Genomic DNA, 19,172 nt, shown 5'->3' with positions numbered 1-19,172 from the left:
GTTAACATTTTATTGCTTGTGACTTTTTTATCACATGACTTTTGTTTCTCATTAAGTTAGTGAATGAGATTTACTAAAAAGCCAAGTAAAATCTAATAAGGGCAGGGGCCTTTTCCTGCAGAATTAATTCTCTTGTGAACCCGCAGATGTCAGGAGCTCAGGCTGAGTCACACAAGTGTGTCCCTCACTGCTTGGAAACGCTGAACTGGGATACACTCACTTTGCAGTTAGCACAAAAGCTGGTATAACTGTTGTAGATTTGTTTCCTGAAAATCAATATTAGTTGCCTCAATGATCAAAAACAAAAATAGATGTGAAAGACAATGGAATTGCCCTGGCAATAAAATGCCTTAAATACAAATTTGTAGTCCACACTTGATGGGTGACCGTCATGAAAATGAGATTGAGATGAATTTAGAGTTTTTATTTCCTTTTTGGTTATTGAAAAGTTCTGTTTACAAGGCATGAGACGAGTTAATTTGCCTCAATCAAATGTTAGTATATCATTTAGACCTGTACAGGTTTGTTTTCACACACCTGAGTATCTGCTGGAAATACTGTTATTGTTGTGAGCGTTTCCAGAATTTGCGTGTTTCCTGCCTACTGAAAAGAGTTCTGATTTCTTTTTCCTTTCTAGGTTCTTTCCTTGTTTTTCACTCTGTTTTGCTGTTAACAGTCATCGATGCTTAATGTTTTTCCATTAATTACTTCCATTAATTGAGAGCTGCAGGATCGTGATATTCTAATTCTCTCATTGCGTTTTCGTTTTATGAGTGGAAGTAAGTTGACGTAGAGATGCACTCCTGTGATCATTTGTACAGTTCACATATGAAAGGGAAGATAAATAATTGACTCTTTCCTTTTACCCAGAATTTACTAAATTCTGAATATTATAAATGGATTCGTTCTCATTCTCAAAAGGTGACCCAGTAGGGTTTTGTTTGTTTTGAATTATCATGAACATGTAGATTTAAATATATTGAATGAATTTCCACCCACTGCAGTTGATATCCTTACTGAAGCTCAGGTTGTCTCATACTGACCAGCAGGGAACCTCAGGGTGTCTCTGGGTCTTTCTAATGGGATCCCAGCAGCGCTTGGTGCCTTATTTCTGAGTGGTGTGTCTGTTACTCCACACTCATCTGGAACACTTCTTCTCCAGATCTAGGATCGGCCATTTCTCCACGAAGCCCTGGTGTGTTTAATGAGAAACGATATTTTAAACCACAGTCTGGGTGTTAGGGATTGTTACTAAGTTAGTCTTTGTTTCTAGGTATTTCCTAAATAAATGCTTCTTGTGTTCATATGGATCGTTCTATTTCCAATTCAGGACTACAGAGTTTTTCTTAATCTCTTTTATATATTCTTTCTTCCACGTTGAAAATTCTGGTTATCATGGATATAAGAGTTGATATCATTGCAATATTCCATAATTGCTAATACGCTTTAGCTAACTTTACACATACAGTGATCTCAAAATAACAATATTAATATTACCACCACCAATTAGAAGACCTAAAAATGGTTTAACTTTTTGCTCTGCATGAGCTAGCCCTCTCTCTTCCCCTTTTCTTATTGGCTGTCTTCTATCTACCTTGTCAGAGCTTATAGCCATTACCCCTTTTAACCGTCATCTAATAAGGTTATACAAGTATAGCAACACTTGGTTTAACAACAGGGATACATTCTCAGAAATCTGTCATTAGGTGATTTCATCGTTGTGAGAACATCACAGAGTACATGCACAAAAACCTAGATGGCAGAGCCCACCGCACACCCAGGCTAGATGGTGGAGCCTGCCGCACACCCAGGCTAGATGGTGGAGCCCGCCGCACCCCCAGGCTAGATGGCGGAGCCCACCGCACCCCCAGGCTAGATGGTGGAGCCCGCCGCACACCCAGGCTAGATGGTGGAGCCCGCCGCACACCCAGGCTAGATGGTGGAGCCCGCCGCACCCCCAGGCTAGATGGCGGAGCCTTGTGCACCCCTAGGCTTCAGACTTGGGCAGCATGAGACTGTACTGAATACTGTAGGCAACTGTAACACAGTGGTAAGGATTTGTGTATTCAAACATATTTAAAAATAGGGTACAGTAAAAATATAATACAAAAGATAAAAATGACATGCCTCTATAGGGCACTTATCTGTGAATGGAGCTCACTGGATTGGAAGTTTGTCTGGGTGAATTTGTGGTGAGTGAGTGTGAAGACCTAGGACATTAGTACACACTACTATAGACATCATAAACACTGTACACTTAGGCTAGACTACATTTATTAAAATTTTTGCTTTCTTCAATAATAAATCTTACCGTAATGTTTTTACTTTATAAACTTTTTAGGTTTTGAAAAACATTTTGACTCTTCTGTAATACATATCTTAAAACACAAACACATTGTGCAACTGTACAAAAATATTTTCTTTATATCTTTATTGTAAAAGCACCACCACGAACATGTGAGTAACACGTTGTGTGCTATGGCAGGCAGGCGATAGGAGTTTTTTTTTTATCTCCACTACAATCTTATGGGACCACCATCACATATGCGGTTCATTGTTGACCAAAATGTCATTCTGCAGTGCATGGCTGCAATTCTATATTTACTGCTCAGCACCAGCCCTTGGAGAATGTCACTTCCACTATTTTACCATCTGAAGCCCATTCTCTAGCAGCTGCCCATTAAGAGATCATGGGAACAATATTCCCTGCGTTCTTGCACACTGATTATAGTTTATCTGTAATCTGTTTTTTTCTTCTTTTTCTTTTCTTTTTCTTTTCTCTCTTTCTTTTTCTTTCTTTCTTTTTCTCTCTCTCTCTCTCTTTCTTTCTTTATTTTTTCTCTCTTTCTTTTCTGTAGTGTTTGACTGTCATTGCTCAGGCTGGAGTATAATGGAGCCATCTTGGCTCACTGCAACCTCCACCTCTCAGGCTCAAGCAATTCTCTTGCCTCAGCCTCCCAAATAGCTGGGACTACAGGGCACATGCCACCACACCTGGCTAATTTTTGTATTTTTTGTAGAGACGGGGTTTTGCCCTGTTGCCCAGGCTAGTCTTGAATTCCTGAGCTCAAGTGATCCTCCTGCCTTGGCCTCCCAAAGTGCTGGAACTACAGGTGTGAGCCACCGCGCCCAGCCTCTTTATTCTTTAAGATTAGCTTTAGTGAATACAAAATCGTTGGCTTAGATTTTCTTTATTTGAATATTGCAAATACATTGCTCCATTTTCTTCTGGCACAATGTACTGCTGTCAAAAAGTGTGAAGATTAATTTTGTTTTTTTTTCCTTTGCAAGTCATCCTCTTTTTGCCTAGTTGGGCAAAGAGTTATTTATTTACCTCCAAAGTCCAGGGTTTTTTTTCTTTACTGGTCATTTGGATTGATATTATCAGGTATACAGTATGCTCTTTTAATATATAATTTCAAATGTTTTTAATTTTAGGGAAATTTTCTCGAGTTATGGGTTTACCACTTGCTTGCTTCTCTCTCTTTGGCTTTCTTCCTCAGGGGCTCCTTATCTGTATGTTGGCTTTTCTTTGCCTAACTTTGAAATTTTTTTCAAATCCTTACCAAAAAGGATTTTTAAAAGCTTCCTCTGTTTACCTCTAATGTATCAATTATGATTATTTTCCCCATGTGTCTCTAGTCTCCATTCATGAAGTGACTCTTTTCCCTCCTGGACTCCCATCACCTCCTTCGTGAGATTTCCTGATTCCAACGGATGTTGTTCTTTCATGACTTTAGTCATTTCATCAATATCTTTTAGCTCATTTTGAAGTCGGTCATTACAGTTCCTTTTTTTCAAAAAATTAAAGTTTGCTTCTGTCTGGCATGCTTTTGTTATTTATAGCAAGGGTCAGCCAAGATTTTCAATAAAGGACCAGACAGCAAATATTTTAGGCCTGTGATTTGCAGAAAATCGCTGTCACATATTTTTCTTTTTCTTTTTAACAATGTAATCGCAGAACTTTGGGAGGCTGAGGCGGGCGGATCATGAGGTCAGGAGTTCGAGACCAGCTTGACCAACATGGTGAAACCCCGTCTCTACTAAAAATACAAAAAATTAGCTGGGTGTGGTAGCGTGTGCCTGTAATCCCAGCTACTCAGGAGGCTGAGGCAGGGGAATTGCTCCCGGGAGGCAGAGGTTGCAGGGAGCCGAGATCATGCCACTGCACTCCAGCCTGGGTGACAGAGTGAGACTTCATCTCAGGGAAAAAAAAAAGTGAAAAACACTCTCAGCTCATGGGCCCTGTGAAACAGACTGTGGGTCAAATTTGGCCACAGGCTTCTTATTCTGTTCCTTATTTTCATTCTGCTTGTAGTAAATTTGTATCCTAGTTAAACTCAATAATTTTTTCTCCCCTCTTTTTTTTGATGTGATTGTCCTCCACTTTTGGGAAATTACCTCTGGTAGCTGATCTAAGTCAGGGAGCTCCTTTCTTTGCTTCTGTTTGTTCTCATATACTGTTAACGCTTTGGTAGCTGGTGTGCTGGTATTTCCTGGCTCCTTCCCCGTCCCTCCCTGTTATCTGGTCCCACTCTTCCTTTGTCTCTGTCATCCCTCTTGTCTCAGTGTTGAATCTGCTGTCAGCAAGGGCCCTGCCCTGGAAGGAAGCCCTGGACATTCATTCTGGAGAATCTATGGAGGTCAGCCTACCCTAGACTAGACTTCTTGACATCACCTGCTTTTAGTTAGAAACTCCTCTCAGCTTCTGCCACAGTCCTGTGGTTTGTCATGTTTGCCTCTGAGCATCTGTTGGCTACTTTGCTGTTCCCTGATCTCCAGCCTGCCAGAGCCCTGGAGCTTCCCTTGCTGTGCCCTACACAGATGCTGGTGACACACAGGTACTTGTATTTGGTGCCCTCCGCCACCTGATTGTATTTGTAGTTTGGGGACAGCTTGTCACCTCATTTGCTGTTGAGGTTGTCTAAGGGTTTAGTTTTGCCTTCTCATTGTTCTGTCTGTTTTTATTGGAGATTTGGGAAGGTTCGAATCTGTGCTGCTGCATCCCTATCCCCTGAAATGAAACTTGACAGACGCAATGAAACGCCGCAGGAGACAGTCAGCTTGCCATCACCAGGAGTCTCCCAATTTTGGTCAAGTGCAGAAAGAAACGCTGGAAAAAAGCCCATGGGCTTTGGAGTCAGCTAGACCTGGGATGCAGCACTTGCATCTCCACCATCATTTCTGTGCCTTTGGATTGGATGCATTTCCCTTGTCTGAGTCTTGGTTCTGTCATCTCTAATATGGGAGAAACAGTGACAACCACATGGGGCAGGTGGGACGAGGACATGGGAGGTTTCCCAGGGCCCTGGCCTGGGGCTTGGTGTGTGGGAGAGAAGTTTCTGCCCCGTGACCCTGGGGACTGGGGAAAGGGGTCAGGATGTAGCCCTCAGTGTAATTTCTTTTGGGGTTCTGTGGGCGAAACTGACCACACAAGCATCCCAGACTAAAGTGCGAGTTGACATTCCTGGCTCTAGTTTTCATCACATCTTCCTGCTTTACACCAGGAGAGTCAGCCTGGTCCAGGTGTGAGTTTTTGTCTTAGACTTTAAGAAGGGGAATGGAAACACCTGAACACTTGATCATTACATGGCACGTCTCTTGCTGTGGGAGGGCCACGGTGCCCTCAGGGACAGCTGACCTATGGAGGACTTTTGGCTCTCAGTTAAACGTCTCCTGACTGCCATATGCATGTCTTTATTTTTTCCCCATTGCCTTTAATATTTTATATATATATATATAATATAATATATAACTATATATAACAATATAACATATAAAACTATACATAAAATATATAACTATATATAACATATATAACTATATATATAACTAGGTAGCAATATAATATATATAACTATACATAAAACAATATAATATATATAACTATATATATAAAAAACACCCACACGTACACTCATTAATTAATTAATCTACTATATCTGATTTTACTTTTCTCTGTTCCTTTCTAATGTGATCATTCTAATGTGTCTGTACAAAATAATCAAGTTTGTTAGAATTGTGTTTAAACAAAGAGTAAATAAACACAGAATGAGTGTTGGAGGCATAAATAAAGCCCATGTGTTTTACTATGCAGGTTTGTTGTGTGTTCGGGCACTCAAAGACTTTCCATGCCTCCTTCTTAAATGAGTTCTGGATCACCGAGACACCTGGAGAGTGGACAGTGAATAAATCGGATGTCTGTACAGCACACATGGGCGATAAAACAGGACTCAGTGCAGAGATGAAAATGACATCTCACAATCACAACAGTTAGAGACCAGTTTACAGCCAAAGAGAACTCCTTTTCCCAGGGTGGAACTGAGGCTGTCGATCGATGCTGCAGATTCTCAATTCCACTGGCTGCAGGGGTTTTTTTGTTTGTTTGTTTGTTTGTTTTGAGACAGAGTTTTGCTCTGTCGCCCAGGCTGGAGGGGAGTGGTATGATCTCAGCTCACTGCAAACTCCGCCTCCCTACTTCAAGCACTTCTCCCGTCTCAGCCTCCCGATTGGCTGGAACTACCAGTGCGTGCCACCATGCCTGGCTAAGTTTTGTGTTTTTAGTAGAGATGAGGTTTCACCATGTTGGTCAGGCTGGTCTTGAACTCCTGGCTTCCAGTGATCTGCTTGCCTCAGCCTCCTAAAGTGCTGCGATTACAGCTGTGAGCCACCATGCCTGTCTGGCTGCAGTTTTTATTTTTTTTATTTTTATTTTTTTTTTGAGATGGAGTCTCGCTCTGTCACCCAAGCTGGAGTGCAATGGCACGATCTCGGCTCACTGCAAGCTCTGCCTCCTGGGTTCATGCCATTCTCCTGCCTCAACCTCCCGAGTAGCTGGGACTACAGGCGCCCGTCACCACACCTGGCTAATTTTTTATATTTTCAGTAGAGACAGAGTTTCACTGTGTTAGCCAGGATGGTTTTGATCTTCTGACCTCGTGATCCGCCCGCATCGGCCTCCCAAAGTGTTGGGATTACAGGCGTGAGCCACCGTGCCCGGCATGGCTGCAGTTTTGATTTCCTGGTTGGGTGATCCAGGTGGCCTATATATGCTCAACAACTGGTCGGCATCACTCTTCACTTGCGCTTGTTTGGCCGAGTGGCAAGGAGAGGAGCGTGGGGTGGGCCAGGTGAGGCAAGTGCAAAGGCGTCTTGCGGCAGTTGCCTCCCTGCAAGTGTGTTTGGGAAAGGAGCTGCCAGCAAGGGGAAGGAATGAGCTCCCCTCCTCCTCTCCCGGCCTATTAGGACGTGTGCAGACACTTCTTGTACCATCTCTAGATCTTCATTCTGGCGTGCAGGGCAGGTGAACACACGGTAAACTCAGGGGCCTCTGTCTGCAGCACGGTGGAGTCAACATGAGTGTAAACCCACAGGCAATCATGGAACGCTCCCAAGGCTCAGTTTTCACTTCTGTGAAATGGGAATAAGGCACACCCTCTAACATTATTGTTGGGATGAATTGTGGTCATGTCTATAAGTTTTAAGAACATGCCTAGTATATAGTCAGAGATCCATAAATAATTTTTTTTGTCATTATTGAGATAGAAAGGTTAGCCACCTCCAAGAGTTATCCATTCAATTGTTTTATTATCTTTCTCTCCCACCAAGCTGTCAGTTCTACGGCGCCCACATAAATTGTGTTTGTTTTGTATGAAGATGTGACAGTTGATTTCTCGCCTGGGGTAGACAGAATAACAGTCCCCCAAACAGTCCATATCCTAACCCCTGGTACCTGAATGTGTTACCTTACATGGCAAAAAAAAAAAAAAAAAAAAAAGACTTCGCAAGATATGATTGAGTGAAAGAGCTGACACAGGAGATTACCTTGGATTGTTCAGGTGGGCCCATCTATAAATAATCCAGGGAGCGTTCGGTCTCTGGCAGAGGAAGGGAGGTGAGGGTATAATGAGGGCTTTATCTCAGTCTGGGAGTTAGGCAAGGCAGCCCCAAGAGATTCAGGTTCAAGGTGAGACTCAGGATGGCGGCACTGGCCCAGGAGAGGAGGCTGGGAGGAGAGCTCCAGGCAGAAGGGCCAGGGTGCAGAAGCCAGCTGAATTCTCACAGCAGATGAGGTAGCCTAGGTTTTACAAAGGCAGAGCCCACCGGATGGGTGATCTGGGTACCCGTGCACACAAATGAGAAAATAGCAGCTCAGAAAGATCAGGAACCTTTACACATGAGAAGCAGGAGAGGGCGTTGTGCTTGATAGAGTAGATTTCTTACTCTCTCCGTCAGGAGCATTTGTGTGTGGGATTATTTCCTGTTTCCTGGGCATCCCTGAGGTCAGGCTGGTGACTCACAGCTTCTTATTAGGTTGGTACAAGCCACTGCAGTTAATGGCAAAAACCGCAATGACTTTTGCATCACCTAAAAGGCTGATGAAAAGTCTCGCTCACAGGCAAAGGCAGAACCCTCTCCAAAGCCCATTCCAGCTTTGTATGCCTAGAGCTTTGGGAAATAAGCTCTGGGGGGTTTGCATTAGCCACACATGTCTTCTTCTAGGTGAGCAGAATCCAGAAACATTGGGGTCCAGCCTCTGTGTGCCATCACCTCTGGATCCACGGAATCTGGCAGAGGAGAAACTGGATGTGCCCGTGACAAAGGGATGGGGGTGGGCAATGCCTCGGGTTCACATGCTGGCATGAGCCGGGCAGACACTCGTCACTTGCAGCTGCAATTCTGAGCTCCACTGTTGGCCCCAGAAGAGGAAATATCCCTTCAATTGCCCCAGCCATGCAAGAAACTTGTCCGTCTGTGTTTTCCTTGCAGTTACCGAAATCCTCCGGCTCATGTTTAACGTCGGTTCCAGCTTGACTTTTGTTAAAATGTTGAAACCTAATTTTTTCATTGAGCGATTTTCAGTTTGAGGCCAGCATCAAATTAGAAGCCTCCCCACTGGCAGGGACTGGCAGTTGGGCAGGCGAGAGCCCCACACATGCTTGGGATATTCAATACACTGAGTTCTGCTCGGTACAAGAAACCCAGTCAGAAAATCCTGATTTATGGTGGTGCTCAGGCTTCCTGTTACTCTAAACCATGAAGGTTTTGAGCCGCACCCTGCGTTCCTGGCCAGCGCAGCTGCCTCCACCACCTTCCCTCCTATCGCCAGCCTCACCATTTATATAATAATGTCAGGAATGGAATAATTGACTTTCCAGGACTTTGAATTGTCCTGAACTTCAGTCTGTCTCTTTTTTTTTTTCTATTGAGGTGAAATTCACATAACATAGAATTAACCATTTCAAAGTGAACAGTTCAGTTGCATTTAGTGAGTTCACAATGTTGTGCAACCACCACGTCTATCTAGTCACCAAACATTTTCATCACCCCAAAAGGAAACTCTGTTCCCGTTAGGCAGCCACTCCCCATCCGCCTTCCCCCCAACCCCTGGCAACTGTTAATCGTCTTTCTGTCTCTATAGAATTTGTCTATTCTGAACATTTCATAAAGCAGAATCATATGCAGCCTTTTGTGACTGGCATCTTTCATTTAGCATATTTTCGAGGTTTGTTCATGTTGTAGCATGAATCAGTACTTGATTCTTTTTCATGGTTGTATAGTATTCCACTACATGGATAGACTACAATTTGCTTATTCAGCATCCATTGGTGGACATTTGGGCTGTTTCTACCTTTTTGGTTATTATGAATAATGCCACTGTGAATATTCATGCACACATTTTTGCTTGAGTCCCTGTTTTTATTTCTCTTGGGTATTTACATGGGAGTAGAATTGCTGAGTTGTGTGCCAAATCTATGTTTGACTTTCTTTCTTTTTTTTTTTTTTTTTTTTTTTTTTTTTAGAGACGGAATCTTGCTCTGTCACCCAGGTTGGAGTGCAGTGGTGCAATCTCGGCTTACTGCAAGCTCCGCCTCCTGGGTTCACTCCATTCTCCTGCCTCAGCCTCCCGAGTAGCTGGGACTACAGGTGCCTGCCACCATGCCCGGCTAATTTTTTTTTTTGTATTTTTAGTAGAGACGGGGTTTCACTGTGCTAGCCAGGATGGTCTTGATTTCCTGACCTCGTAATCCACCTGCCTCGGCCTCCCAAAGTGCTAGGATTACAGGCGTGAGCCACTGCGCCCAGCCCTATGTTTAACTTTTTGAGGTTGGGGAGAGTTCCCTGGAGGAGGTGCTGTCCATGTGAGGACCCTAAGGAACAATAGGAACTCACCTGTGTGTTGTGGTTGGATGGTGAAGCAGAGTGAAGGTGACAAAACCAGTTCCTGGAGGCCTGCCACTGACATTCAGCCCTGACCTTAGGCCTGAGGCTACCCAAACCATGCCCCCCACACTGCTGAGGGCCTATGGAGTCTGGGCTGTGTGCTGGGTCCTCCTTAGGCAACCATCATGTGGAGGAAAAGGCGTCAGTATGCCTCAGGAAAGAGGCCTTTGCACCTGGTGGGGCCTGGCTGAGACACTCCTGCCACCCCTATGCTCATCCAAACAGGCCAGAGTTCTGATCCTGCTGCGTTGTCCCTGCCCAATCCTACGCTGGAGCACACTTTGGAGCCGCCTGCATGGAATTCCAATTCTGGTTCTGCAATTTCCTTAGCCGTGTGGCCCTGAGTCAGTCTCTCTACCACTCTGACCCTCAGCGTCATCATCTAGGAAATAAACAGAATTGCAGCAATAGGGAGAGTCAACAAGTGCTGTCTGTCCTGAGCACTCACTGTTTCACAGAGAAGAACTCATTTAATTCCCACAGCTCTGTCTCTGGGACAGGTGCTATTGTCCCCATCTCACAGATGAGGAGACTGAGGTACAGAGAGGTTGACAGTTGCCTGGGGTCAGATCCCTTAGTAAATGGCAGAGCTGGGCTTTGAGGCAGGCAGTGAGAACACAGGCCCTTCACTCATCATTGTATGGCCCTATTGTTGCTGTTAGGTGGTACCATAGTTTCAAATGAAATTTCTCAAAGGTCAACAGAACGGGATAATGAAGATTGTGTTCCCACCCCTCTGCCATGGCCAGTTCTGCCCCTCACACATTCCCAGCCACTTCCCCCTCTCTTGCTTAATGTCGAAGCTGGTCCTAAGCACTCTATCATTGTATCTGTAAATATTTCAGTGTGTGTCTCTAGGAGAGGACTGCATTTTTCAGCATCTACCTGCCCCTCTGTGTTCCTTGCACACCCAAAACTTTCAGCACTAGCCCTGACACACAGGAAGTCCTTTGTGTTTGCTGAATGAGTGAGTAAATGAGTGAATGACTGAGTGAAGGAGTGAGTGAATTAGTGAAGGAGTGAGTGAATGAGTGAGCGACTGAATAAATGGGTGAAGGAGTGAGTGAATGAGTAAAGGAGTGAGGGAATTAGTGACTCAGTGAGTGAGTGAAAGAGTATATGAAAGAGTAAGTGAGTGAAAGAGTGAGTGAATGAATGAGTCAGTGAGTGAGTGAATGAGTGAATAAGAAATGAGTGAGGGAATTAGTGAAAGAGTGAATGAATGGGGGTGAGTGACTGAAGGGGTGAGTAAATTAGTGAATGAGTGAGTGAGGGAATGAATGAGTGGGTGAGTGAGGGAATGAATGAGTGGGTGAGTGAGGGAATGAGTGAGTGAATGACTGGGTGGGTGAGTGAGTGAGGGAGTGAATGAGTGAGTGGGTGAGGGAATGAGTGGGTGAGGGAATGAGTGAGTGAGTGAGGGAATGAATGAGTGAATGAGAAAGTGAGCGAATGAGGGAGTGAATGAGGGAATGAATGAAAGAGTGAATGAGTGAGAGAAAGAATAAGTGAATGAGAGTGAGTAAATGAGTGAGCGAGTGAATCAGTGAATGAGCAAATGAGGAAATGAGTGAGTGAATGAGGGAATGAATGAGTGAGTGAATGAGGGAGTGAATGAGGGAATGAATGAAAGAGATGAGTGAGGGAAAGAATAAGTGAATGAGAGTGAGTAAATGAGTGAGTGAGAGAATCAGTGAATGAGCAAATGAGGAAATGAGTGAGTGAATGAGGGAATGAATGAGTGAGTGAATGAGGGAATGAATGAGGGAATGAGTGAGTGAGGGAATGAGTAAGCGAGTGAATGACTGCGCGAAGGAATGAATGAAAGCGAATGAGTGGGTGAGGGAGTGAGTGGGTGAGGGAGTGAGTGAATGAGTGAGTGAGTGAGGAAATGAATGAGTGAGAGTGAATGAATGAGTGAGTGATCCCATGGAGCCAGCTGGCCAGGACCTCACGTTTTCTGTGGATCCCATGTGAGAGTCACTCTTTCGTTCCCCAAGAGCTAACGAGGAGCCCTGGCTGCCCTGAGCTGGGAGGGCCGGAGACCTCCCTGGAAACGAGGCCTGCGACCCCTCAGTGTAAGTAGGTGACAATTTATGACAGGGATAAGCGCGCCTAAGCCTCAAAGAAAAACAGTGCGTGTTTATGCAGGGCCGCACTTCCAGCCTGCTGAGGCCTCTGCAGACGCGGCTTGGGAGGCTGCCGCCCGACCCGGGCCAAATTGGACAGAGGTGCAGAGAGCCAGCCCACCCACTTCCCACCCGGCCCGCCGCAGCCTGCGTGTGTGGGGCAGCAGCGGGGGGAGTGCCCCTGTCTGTCTGGAGGAGCGGAGGCCACCTGCGTGTTCCGTGGGGTCCAGCCAGACGGGTCCCTGCCTCAGCAGCTGGAGGGCAGCGTGTGGGCTCGCCCTCTGGCTGCCCATAATTGCATCATTGTGTCTGTGAACTTGCAGTCGAGGGCAGGGTTGAGGAATAACGTGGATCTTCCGAGCCCAAATGTCTGCCCTGTCTTGGTTCTTTTCAATCCCGCTCACCCATGCTAACCCAAGGCCTTGTCTGCTGGCCGTGGCTGCGGTCTCCAGCATGTGTCTCCTCCAAGCTGTCTCCAGCCCTCTTGCTCCGTGCTCTCATCCTGTCTCATTCACGGACCCCTATTGGCTCCTGCTACTCAACTGAGGCTGGCAGTCCTGAATTCCCAACCGATACTCGTCTTTAGGGTTTGGGGACAATATTCCTGGGAAATCACAGTAATTCGTGAAATCATAAGTTATTTTACATCTTCCAAAACACTTCATGTGATTTAAATAAGAATGAGAGATCCTAATAGTAAACGGGAAATCATTTTTCTGTGATACAATTAAATCAAAAGTCCCAGCGTGTTTTATATTAAAAAAAGACATAATGATAAATACTTGGCTTAATGTTTTATATCATTATCTTTTGACAATATTATGTCATTTGGTAGCATTTCACATTAATCTGTCCCTTATTCAGACATGTGATAACAGAAAATATTAAAAGAAAGACACAATAACAAAATAAACCTCAAAAATCATTAAAAAATTGAAGTACCACAGATATTTAGTGTAGTTACCAATCTTACGGTGAAATTTTAGAAAACAGTGTACTAATGTTTTAGGCCTGTCTGAAGGTCTTGATCTTTGCTTCATAACATTAATCTGGACGTAGAAACGTTTATTTTGCTGTTAACGTTGTTTGGATTGCTGAGCGTGCATCCCAAAGCGTCTGCGACTGTGCGTTAGGTACCTGTTGCCTCATCTACGTTTCTTTCTTTTTTTTTTTTATTATACTTTAAGTTCTAGGGTACATGTGCACAACGTGCAGGTTTGTTACATAGGTATACGTGTGCCGTGTTGGTTTGCTACACCCATTAACTAGTCATTTACATTAGGTATTTCTCCTAATGCTATCCCTCCCTCAGCCTCCCAACCCCACGACAGGCCCTGGTGTGTGATGTTCCCCACCCTGTGTCCAAGTGATCTCATTGTTCAGTTCCCACCTATGAGTGAGAACATGCGGTGTGTGGTTTTCTGTCCTTGTGATAGTTTGCTGAGAATGATGGTTTCCAGCTTATTTCTTTTTTAACGGTTTCCTTCTTAACAGTTAACAGAAGACAATATTTTGTCTCCTGGCTCTTTGGATGGTTTGCCACTGAAATTGGGTTTTACTAACTGCGATTGAAGATCAGTCTCTGATTTTGCTTGGTGGATTCTATAGTAATATTCATTCCTTCTTCGGTTTGCATTTCTTCTTAGATCTTTATAAAGTTCTATGTGCCCTGGAGTGCCTATTTCTACTCCAAAAGCATGCCACATTCAGATCTTCTGGAAGTGTTGACAGCCCCACACCGAATCATGTATTGAAATGGCCAATTTAAGGACTTACTTTGATTCCGTAACTTGTTATTTCTTGGAACACCTCTCATAGGATTTGTATAGAGTATTCTATGGGTATAAAGGTATTCATATTAATTTTATTTGCAAGAATCACTCTGTATTCGTGGCAGACCCTGACCTCACGGTTCCAACATGACAACTGCAGTGAGATCAGCAGGTTGGAGGCACTGACTTGATGGTCCCCTCCCTCCTCCACACTCCACCCGGTTCCCAGAGATGTGGACCTGCACCATCGTCTCCGAGGGCCAGCATTTCCTGGGGTCACTTTTGAGGACTTTGTTGGGTTCCTTCAAACTTGTAACGTCTGTATGTTGACTGTTAAGCTTACTTCTTGCAGGAGAATTAGGACATATTTTCTCATTTTCTTGATTTTTCAACTGTTTTTGATTTGGGGGGTGTGAGGAATGCTGAGAAACGTATCTATAATGACAAACACCTGCGAGGAATTCCTGCACTGGAACCATGAGTTCAGACTCTTCCTAAAGAGGGTAACCCAGTGACGAGTAACACACACCAACATGTTGCCGACAAGGTGCTCTGGTGCGTTCACACATGCGGATGTGCAAATCACATCCAAAATAGATGTCATCGCACGACCATAAGACAGGAAAAATGTAAAGTTTGATGGTGCCAAGCCCTGATCTAGACACATCTCGGCTTCACTGAGGGCTGGTAGAGGCCCTTCCTTTACCTCTCCCCAGCAGCTCCTGGTCTTTGACTGTGTGGGCTGTGTGCCACCCTATGTCACACCCCGGGATGCACATTGTCCCTGTTACTTGCTCAGCAGCCCTAGGTGGGAGACACACACTTCTGATTGCCAGCTCATGGGGGCACAGAGCAGAGATGTTAGGGAATTTCTTACTTCACCTGTGCTCAGAGCCACTATCTTCCAATGTGTTAAATGCCAAAAGCATGACCACATTCTACTTGCTCTGTTCATTCATTTCTAGGCAAACATTACCAGGACTTAGGGAGGGGAGGTACAAATCCTTCCCTCACCACCCTCACCACCTTTGTCCCCAAGGTCCTGTTATTATCCTCATTTTATAGGTGATGGATCCGGAGCCTGCGGATGCTATGCACCTTGTTCAAGGGCATCCAGTGAGTGACAGAGCCAGGCACGTTCCACTGTGATTCTAGACTTCCTCCTGATTCTAGAATTCCTCCTGTTTCCTGTTCTGGCATCCCAGAGTCAGATAAGTTGAGCCTGCCTGCTGCCCGGCTATCCCAAGAGGAGAAAGGTGGCTCAAACTCTTTCTCTCATTCTCTCTTTCCCTCTTTCTCTTTTTATTTTCCTGTAACTTTAAAAAATAATAGGTTTTATTTTACAGAGCAGTTCTAGGTTTACAGAGAATTGTGCAGATAGCACAGATTTCTCATTCCCTCCATCTCCCCTCCTAGGCTCCACTGTTTTTAACATCCTGCATGAGTGATGTACATTTGTGACAAGGGATGAAACGATATTGACATGTTGTTACTGAGACCCACAGTTTACACCAGGTTCACTCTCTGTGGTGTGGTTCTAGGGGCTTTGTCAGATGCACGGTGTCCTGTATCCACCCTTACACTGCCAAGATAGGTTCACTGCCTCAAAGATCCCCTTTGGGTGGGACAGTTTATTTTATTTTATTTTATTTTATTATTATTTTTTAGACGGAGTCTCGCTCTGTCGCCCAGGCTGGAGTGTAGTGGTGCGATCTCGGCTCACTGCAAGCTCTGCATCCTGGGTTCACGCCATTCTCCTGCCTCAGCCTCCTGAGTAGCTGGGACCACAGGTGCCTGCCACCATGCCTGGCTAATTTTTTTGTATTTTTAGCAGAGATGGGGTTTCACCAGGTTAGCCAGGATGGTCTCGACCTCCTGACCTTGTGATCCACCCACCTCAGCCTCCCAAAGTGCTGGGATTACAGGTGTGAGCCACCGCGCCCGGCCTGGGACTTTTTTAAAAAGTACCATTCTGCCTGTAAATGTCCCAACACAGTTCCTGGTATATACCAGACACCCAAGGAATTACAGTCATCCCCCCTTTACCGGGGGACTATTCCCTGGCTATAGACCTAACCAGGGTCTGCTCCATCCCCTAAATGATGCTGGCCCCCAGTGCGAGCCTTGTCAGCAGAAAAGGGTCCCAGAAAACAGGATCACGATGCTGGCATCTTTAAATAGATGAATGCCACCAGGGAGTGGCTTCCACAGCTCTGCAGGTCAAAGGGCCACTTGTGTGGGTTGTTGACTTTGGGCTGGCCACCACGGACCTACCAGGTCGTGACATCACAGCTTGCAGGCTGAGCAGCTCAGCCACAGATCTGCACCCGATGATGGAGGGCACAGAAAACAAGAAGTGACAACAGGGGCCACTGAACTTAAACTGGCACAAACAGTGATGAATGATGGGGTTGGTTTTTCATGCTTGCCTGTCCAGAAGGTGGCTACAGTATAGGATATCCTGGCTTCCGGCATTCCTTTCCAAAGGAATTAGATCAGAAGGAGGCTGTTGGCATCTGCAACAGGTTGTCATAATGTTGGTGCAAATAGAGTGAGCTGCAGAGGCTAAATCATGGGCTGTTACAGGCGATGCTGGGAATGTGTTTCAGTTGCCTATTGCTTCCTGACAAACAATCCCCACATTTAGTGGCTTTGAGTAATAGTGATTTTGTATTTCTGTGATTTTCTGGGCTGGCGGGGTGGCTCAGCTCACCCTGTGTCTCCAGGGCCATTTGCTGGCTGCATTCAGCTGGGAGCTCCTTGATGTGCCACCCGGCTCCTCCCTCCCGTGTCAATCCCCAGCGCCCCTTCTGGGGGCCTCACTCTAGCAGGAGCACTTGTGCTTCCTCACATCATGGCTGCTGGGTTCCAAGAGGCCACACCCAATTTGCAAGCTCAGGAAGCCTTTGCTTACATCACATTGGCCAATGCTCCATCAGCCAGAGCAAATCACAGGGCCAAGCCCAGAGTCAGTGTGGGAGGGGGCGACCTAGGCTCTGAATGCTGGGGGACTTGTGATTCAGTGTGGCCCACCAAAGTCACTGCCGGCCCAGCTTGGAACACCCCAGAACGCACCCGAGAGGTGGTGGGCCAGCTTTCCCTTCAGCAGCACCAAGTCTGCCCACTGTGGTCTCCTGGTGCCCATTTGTAGGTCTGTACAGTGTCAGTCTCCAGCCCCTTCCAGCCCACCCAAGGCTCACTAGGAGAAAAGGGATGCAACTTGAAGCACCTTGATGAAAGGTCCCAGCCCCCAGCCACCAGCAATCTAATTCTTTCTTGTTCATCAACGATGACTTTCCGAGGTTTCATCTTGAAAGGTGGCTGTTCCTCTTCCTGGTACTGGTTACCACCCTTGCCTGTCCTCATGGGAAATCAGGAGCCACCCACCTCAGTGGTTTTCAAACATTGTTTCATTTAAGCCTTCCGGCCACCCTGCTTTACCTGTTTTAGAGAAGAGGATGTGAGGCTCAAAGCATGAGTTGGTACCAGGACACAGCCAGCCTGTGAGGCCCCCGAGCCCGCAGCCCACCGCTGTGCCCACAGGGGCTCTTCAGACCTCGTGGTCACAGTGCGGTGGGCTCTGGTGTGTGCCTGCCACGTGCGAGGGGCTGCTTCCAGCCTGAGGCCCAGACATCCTGCAGACATACAAGAGCGGAGGCAACTCATTTCTGCCTTTGGACCGTGTGTACAAAAGACTTGTAGCAGCATCCATTGATGATGGCCCAGTTCTTTTTGTTCCTAATTTTTAAACACAGGGTTCCCTTTCTTTGGCATTGGGAAGTGGAGATGCTGGTGCTTTCTGTAACACAGCTGATTTTCTGGTGTGTGAGCCCCATGCAGCAGTGGATGCAAACTTGGGTCTCAGCCCTGCAGAGGTTTCTGGTTGAGTGTTGTAAACTTGTCACTGTTGTGGTTTGACAGAGATTTGACTGAGGGCTCCCCAGCAGAGACCAGCTAGGCCCAGTTGGGCCCCAGGGAAGCAGGGCTTGGCTGAGGTTCCTGCAGCCCAGCCCAGCACCTCACTCCTGGCCTTGTAGGCCCAGAAATGTGATCTGGTCTGTGCCCTAGAAGTGCTCAGGCTCTGGAGGACTGACTCACAGTAACCTAATTCACGAGAGACAGATGCAAACCCAAATGCCAGTGTGCTTGAGTGCAGCGAGGAAGGAGCAGCAGTGGGGGCAGATGTCAGTGTCAGCTGGTCAGTGCAGTCCCTTTCCGGGTCAAATTACTCCTTTATAGTGAGCCCCCAAGTGTCCAGTAGGCTGGATGTTCGTCAGCTTGGCCAGCACATTCCTCCCTGTGGGAAAGCTCTGTGTGAGCTGGAATTCTACTCAGAAGGTTGCTCAGTGAGTGCGGAATCTGAGCTGGGGTGTGGGCTGGAGGGTCTCTAGGGTGAGTGGCAGAGCCAGCTCCAAGGCTTGCTAGGGCCTCGGCCAAGCCTGGGTGGACCTGTGGGCTTGAGGTAGGGGAGAACAGAGCTGAGTCCTTGTCTCTGTGCAGGCACGCAGGAGCTGGGTAGTCTTGGGCAGGTCTACTCACCTCTGAGGCTCCTGTTCCTCCTAACTAAAATCAGGCTTGGCGCCCCACTCTGCAGAGGGCCCCACTTTACCCCCACTTGCTCTCTGTCCTGAGATCCTGACCCCCACTTCTGGGTGGGTTGGCTAGTGGGGCCCCCTGGCGTGACATGGAAGAGTGGGGAGCAAAGTCAGGGTGTGACCCCCCCAGCTCCCCACACAGGAGAGGGGTCCCGTGATCTGGCTGGGTGCCCATCCCAGGCTGCAGCTCATCCTGGCCGGTCCCCTCCCACTGCTGCCACCTCCTGAGTTCCAGCAACCGCAGTAACTTCCCCCTCCCAGCTATTTATTATACCCTTTTCTGGGGTCCCCAAATGTGAGCCACATATATACATTCCCATGTATTTACTTTTGGTTTTATTTTTTACAACTTTAAACAAATAAAGCTCATCTTAGCTCCTAGGCTCTACAGAAATGGATGGCAGCCAGATATGGGCTGCGGGCCTGATTGCAACCCCTTTCCTCATCTCCCC

The 19,172-nt window shown here is 46.3% G+C and overlaps 2 annotated features.

Moving 5' to 3' along the window:
• Positions 11,879–12,439: an enhancer, noted in NCBI's record as "H3K27ac-H3K4me1 hESC enhancer chr16:87046982-87047542 (GRCh37/hg19 assembly coordinates)". NCBI's record gives its function as "activates a minimal SCP1, AML or CMV promoter by ChIP-STARR-seq in naive H9 embryonic stem cells {active_cell/tissue: H9 hESC(naive)}" and the evidence as "EXISTENCE:reporter gene assay evidence [ECO:0000049][PMID:30033119]".
• Positions 12,440–13,001: an enhancer, noted in NCBI's record as "H3K27ac-H3K4me1 hESC enhancer chr16:87046420-87046981 (GRCh37/hg19 assembly coordinates)". NCBI's record gives its function as "activates a minimal SCP1, AML or CMV promoter by ChIP-STARR-seq in naive H9 embryonic stem cells {active_cell/tissue: H9 hESC(naive)}" and the evidence as "EXISTENCE:reporter gene assay evidence [ECO:0000049][PMID:30033119]".

This window comes from Homo sapiens, chromosome 16 (genome assembly GCF_000001405.40).
Source record: "Homo sapiens chromosome 16, GRCh38.p14 Primary Assembly".
In the NCBI taxonomy this organism is placed as follows: domain Eukaryota; kingdom Metazoa; phylum Chordata; class Mammalia; order Primates; family Hominidae; genus Homo; species Homo sapiens.
This window is presented reverse-complemented; position numbering and strand designations above follow the sequence as displayed.